Genomic DNA, 6185 nt, shown 5'->3' on the forward strand with positions numbered 1-6185 from the left:
ATTGCAGCCAATGATAGACCATGTATGTGAGGGTGGCCTTATAAGATTATATCATATTTTTGCTGTACCTTTTCTATGTTTAGATATGTTTAGATATACAAATACTAATCATTGTGTTACAATTGCATGCAGTATTCAGTACAGTCATATGCTGTACAGATTTACAGCTTAGAAGCAATAGGCTCTACCATATAGCTTAGGTGTGTAGTAGGCAATACCATCTATGTTTTTGTAAGTACACTCTGATGACCACACAACAATGAAATCACCTAGTGGTTCATTTCTCAGAACCTATCCCAGTCATTTAACCACACATGACTATATATAGAAGAAACAATGGGAATAGCAAAGGCTTTTTATTCTGAACTTGTTATGGTAGGAAACTTAGTCACCCTCAGTTGAATTTTGGCAGAGACTCAAATGTAGGCAGAAGAATAGGAAAGGTTCACAGTGGAAAAATGGGAAGGTTTCAGTTAGCTCTGATTGGAGGCCATTGACGGGGAAGATGTTCTTGGGTTAATCAGAAGAGGGACATCCTATATGATTGATTGGGGGTGCATATTAAGCTTTTTATGGCTGATCCTATGTATTAGTCCATTTTCATAATGCTATGAAGAAATACCTGAGACTGGGTAATTTATAAAGAAAAAGAGGTTTAATGGACTCAGAGTTCCACATGGCTGGGGAGGCCTCACTATCATGGCAGAAGACAAAGGAGGAGCAAAGGCACATCTTACATGGCAGCAGGCAAAGAATATGTGTGGGGGAACTGCCCTTTATAAAACCATCAGATCTTGCAATACCTATTCACTATCACAAGGACAGCATAGGAAAAACCCATTGCCATGATTAAATTACCTATTATGGCGTCCCTCCCATGACATGTGGGGACTGTGGGAACTATAATACAGGAAGAAATTTGGGTGGGGACACAGGCAAACCACATCATCCTAAGTTAGAAGAGGAGACAAAAATTAGGAAAGCTGTCAGTTGTTAATCAAGTCCTGGCCATTTAGATCCAATTGTTATAGAAGTTACTGTTCAGCTTTCTGAGTTGTCACTAGAGATAGAAATCTGGCTTTCTGCAAGTCTAAATTACAACAAGCTAACTTCCTGATTATTGATTGTAAAAAGGGATTTGGTCTTCTGGGTTGCTGCAGGTAGTAGGTCAAAGTTCTGTTTTTATATGTAGCCTGTCCATTGTCCACCTGTCTCATAATCACAGAAAAGAAAAAAAAAAAAAACACTGGCCAGGCACAGTGGCTCACACCTGTAATTCCAGCACTTTGGGAAGTTGAGGCAAGCAGATCACATGAGGTTAGGAGTTCAAGGCCAGCCTGGCCAACATGGTGAAACCCCATCTCTACTAAAAATACAAAAATTAACTGGGTATGGTGGTGCACACCTGTAATCCCAGCTACTCAGGAGGCTGAGGCAGGAGAATCGTTTGAACCCAGGAGGCGGAGATTGCAGTGAGCCGAGATCATGCCACCACACTCCAGCCTGGGTGATAGAGCGAGACTCTGTCTCAAAAACAAAACAAAACAAAACACAAACCAATATCCTAGCAAAGTAAATACAGCTACGTAAAGAAAGAATAATATAAGCACCGTGATCAAATGAAGTTTATTTTAATATTGTAAGAGTCAAAATCATTTAATTTACCACATTTTTTACCAAAACACCAGGAGTTTGCTCTAGGTTCTGCTGCTTGCCACACAGAAAGCCAACGACTGAGATGAAAAGTAATGCTAAGGAAGTGCCAAGGAAGCCTTTAATCCTGTGCTGCACTCAAGGAGATGGGAGATCAGTCTCAACTCCATCTCCCTGGCCAACTAAAACTAGGGGTTTACATGACAGAGAAGAAATGTAACAATGTGTAAGAAAACAGGAACTATGGTGGGGCCAGGAAGCAATCATGATGAATGAAGGATTTTGCATCTCATTGCCTTGGTGCAGTGATCTGGTGAGTTTCAGTTCTTTGATACTTTCTGAGAGGCCTGGGTGACCTTTCCTGAGGAAGAAATTGAGATTAGAAAAATGTAAGTTCCAAGCTTCAAGACTAGAAGGGCCAAATTTCATGTTTATCCCCAAAAACCTGTCTATGGGACTACTGGGTCAATTTCACATTCACAGAAAAATGAAAAAAAAAAAAGTTCTCAATGAATAAAGAAAAAGAATTTGAAAAAGTATAATGCTCTTTAATGATAAAACTTATCAGACAACTAATCAAAACTAGGTTAGTACTTGATTGAATACATGGGAGAAGGTGTAGATATATCAGAGGCCAGAAATCATGGGCCATTTAAGAATCCTGCTTACCACACACACCTAACAAATGTCAGCATTCAATGTGTTCAATGGTGAAATATTAAAAGCTTTTCTCTAAGATAGAAGGAAACATGTATCTCCCTTCTCACAAACTCTATTGAAAATGCCACTCTAACTCCTATCCAATTCAACAATGCAAGAATAAGAAATGAAAAACATAAGGATACAAAAGAAGAAGTTAAATTCTCATTTTTTGTAGACTCATGATTTTGTATAAAAAATTTTAATTAATCTTTCAAAAGAACAATTAGAATCAGTAATTGAACTTTTGAAGTGGGCTGAATAAAGGATCAATATATGAAATTCAAATGTAATTTAATATTCCAATAATGTATAATTAAAATGAAAATAATAAATGAAACCATTTGCAATTAGCATCACAAACTTCAATACGTAGGAACAAACCTAATAAATATTGTACAAACATTCCACTCAGTTAACAATGAAATATTATTGACAACAATAAATGAAATCTAAATGCTATCACTATCCATGTTCATAGACTGCAATCCTCAATGTTCTGAATGTCAATTCTCTGAAAAATGCTCTGTATATTTAATGCATTCTCAAACAAAATCTCAGGTTTTTATATATTTTTTTTTTTACTTTTTAGAACATTACATGCTGATTTTAGAATATATATGGAAGTCATAAGAGCCAAAGAAAACCAAGAGTCTGAGGCATCAGTAATTAATGCAATGTGATATTGGCATTAAAGAAAAAAGATATGCAAATGCCCTTGAGACATACGAGAAAGGTGCTTAACCTCATTAACCATTGAGAAAATTCAGTTTAAATCCCAATGGCAAATCACACCAACAGAAATGACCAAAATTAGGAGACTAACAAATGATAAATTTTGGGAGGTAGTGTTTCTATTTGTGCTGACACTGGAGGAATTTTATACTAATATAATCATTTTAGAAAATTATTTAGTAGAATATTATGAATTAGATTATTTGTATCTTCTAGGACCAGCAGTTCTTCTTCCTATCATATATCAATCACACACAAGTAAAAGTGTGTACTAAATGACATGTAGATGTATGTTTATAGAAGTATTATTTATAATAATCTCAAACTGGAGATGTGGCAACTGCCCTACAATAGTAGAATGCATATAGTTTTGCAATGATACAACACAATATTATATAATAATAGAATTACTAAGAAAACAAGCTTCATGAAGTAAAGTGATTGAATCTGTCTCCCTTTCTCTCTCACACACATTTGCGCGCGTGCACACACACACACACACACACACACACTTACCTGAAAGAAGCTAGACAAAAAAAGTCAATATTGTAAAAGGAAAACCCAACCTATGGTGCTAGAAGTTAGGCTAATGTATACTTTGAGAGATAAATGGGGCTAGAACTGAGATAGTTCTTGAGTGCTGCCACAGAGGAACTGGGATATTACATTATTCCTTGATCTCTCTGTTAATTGCCTGGACATATTTACTTTGGAAAACTGAACTTCATGCCTAAGATTTCTATACTTTTTAAATATATTTTATACTCAAAATCCTAAAATCTCAAGCTATCATGGGCTTGACATAATTAAAACACTTTTTCATACTTTTGCAGATAAAGAAAATTTCAAGCTTACTATATTTACATTATCCTGCTAGCTCACATTATTAAACCAAAAAACATATAGGCATCTGTCATTTAATACCTTTCATATTTGTAGGACACCCAACCATACATCTTCTTTGGTACCCCATGTAGGAGAAACTGTATTCCAGCTGTTTCTTTGCCTGTCTGAAATTTATTCCTGAATAAGATCCAGCTGGCTTCAATACAAATCTATTTTTACTGAGGTGATGCTTAGAAGCACTCATCAAGGTCTTAAAATAGAGGCTAGTGGTGAGACTCAACAAACTACAAGCTAGTTTTTCATATCATTCACACACAAATGGTGTACAATCTGGTCATCCATAACATCAAATTGATGCCAAGGTTTAAAGTGCTATATCCCAGATGCTTCCAACTACATCAGCATTTTGATCAAAGTCAAAGGTCCTATACCCGTAATACATTTTTTTTGACATGTTTAAACAGGACTCTGTTATGGTCATAAATTAAGAGCAGCAAAAAATATTCCCAGAAATGGTGGTGGTATTACCTGGAAGTAAGGGTGTCATTATCAAAGCTTCAGAGCAATTTTCCAGTCAATGTATTCACAGATAACCTAACTTTTATCCCCCTACACATACATCAGCCCAGCATTTCTATCTCCATTGATTTTACTTGCAAATCTCTCTTCTGCAAATTTGCAATTATTTCACTGGTTTCAGGTTGGCAGATTTTGTCTTATGCCTAGTATCAGTTTTACCTGCATATCTGTAAACACTAAAGCCACAGAGGTAGTAAGAGTTGAGGGGGTCATATTTGACTAAATAGTCTGACTTTATGCCTTCCATGTCTAACCAGTATATTATATTCCATGGCAGAGAAGAAATATTAAATAGATTATTAAATAATTACAGTTATAAGTGCTAATGCCTTTTTTATTATTTGTATAAGTTTATAGGGTACAAGTCTAATTTTGTTACATGCAAGATTGCATGGAGGTGAAGTCAGGGCTTTTAAGATATCCATCACCCAAATAATGTATTAATGCATTCTTAAAGATGGTTTGTACTTTCTCTTTGTCCTTTCCAAATGGGTGGAGGACAGCCTGTATATTGTGAGTTCCACTTTAAACTGTCAATCCTACATCATCCTTTCATGTTGGGTGATTATGTCACCTTAGTACAGTACCCTCTACAACCTTATACCTACGATCTACTATCCTCGACATTAGGAAAATGATCTATTCCTTTCCTAATTGAATATTTTCCTTGTGAGATATTTCCTGTTAGCTATTTCCTAATAGCCCACCCATTATTTTGTAAAGCAACCTGGTGATAAACCAAGAGCCACAAAAACCTGGCCTACATATATATTTTTAAATGTTGTTTAAATTATATAATTTACTTAATATTCATAAACATATGCTTTTGAAATCTCCTAAACAGATGGAAATTTCAAACAAGAGCAGACTCAATTCCATGTGGTAACTGCTATCCATAGACTGAGCAGCAGCTACGTCTTTCAGAGGGGTACAGGCACCCCCTTACCAGCACCCACCATTTGCACAATAATTGCATAGGCATTTATTCTTGTCATATATCATTTACTTATGTTTCCTCACTGGCCACAATGTGCATTTGAATTGGTTGTGCCTATTAAAATCCCTAGTAGGCTACCTATTAACTCTTGTGGTTCCCCTTGCAAAGAGAAATTTAGAAATTTATTTTGCCCCTGAAAGTTTTTACCACAAAAAGAAATGATTTGTCAATTATCTAATAAAACCAGTTTAATCTCCTCTTGGAGCTAAAGATGTTTCATCTCTCCCAGGCTTAATTTCCATGATTTGGAACTACAGGTGTAAATGTCAGGAAACATTGCAAAAGAGTCCTTTAGATTCGGCTAAAAAAAAGAGAACAGAATGATTCAATGTGTTTGTAAGTTTGAGGGGTAAGGGAAAAATGCCAACCAATGTACCAGAGCTGCAAAATTTCTCAACTTGTTCAGCTTAATTTTTTTTGGAAATTAGTGCCTAAATTATCGAAATATGTTTTTCTCCTCTCCTTCTGTTTAACCTAATAAAATAATGTAGTGGATAATAATGTGGCCTCTAGATTCAAACTTAACCTCTCTGATTCTTCATGTTAAAATGTAATTATACCATGTTTTCTTTCTTTTTTTTTTTTTTTTTTTGAGATGGAGTTTTGCTCTTGTCACCCAGTCTGGAGTGCAATGACAGAATCTCAGCTCCCTGCAACCTCCGCCTCCCTGCTACCT

At 35.7% G+C, this 6185-nt stretch overlaps 1 long non-coding RNA gene across 1 annotated transcript; it reads right to left on the reverse strand.

Annotated features, from left to right (window-relative positions):
* Positions 1 to 1607: 1607 nt before the first annotated feature.
* On the reverse strand, positions 1608 to 4092 carry LOC124903228 (uncharacterized). Its single transcript, XR_007063895.1, has 2 exons — positions 4012 to 4092; positions 1608 to 2014 (listed from the first exon to the last, which is right to left on the reverse strand). It is a non-coding gene; the product is annotated as an uncharacterized LOC124903228 (long non-coding RNA).
* Between the last annotated feature and the right edge of the window lie 2093 nt (positions 4093 to 6185).

The sequence above is a fragment of the Homo sapiens genome, chromosome 13 (assembly GCF_000001405.40).
Source record: "Homo sapiens chromosome 13, GRCh38.p14 Primary Assembly".
Lineage (NCBI taxonomy): Eukaryota > Metazoa > Chordata > Mammalia > Primates > Hominidae > Homo > Homo sapiens.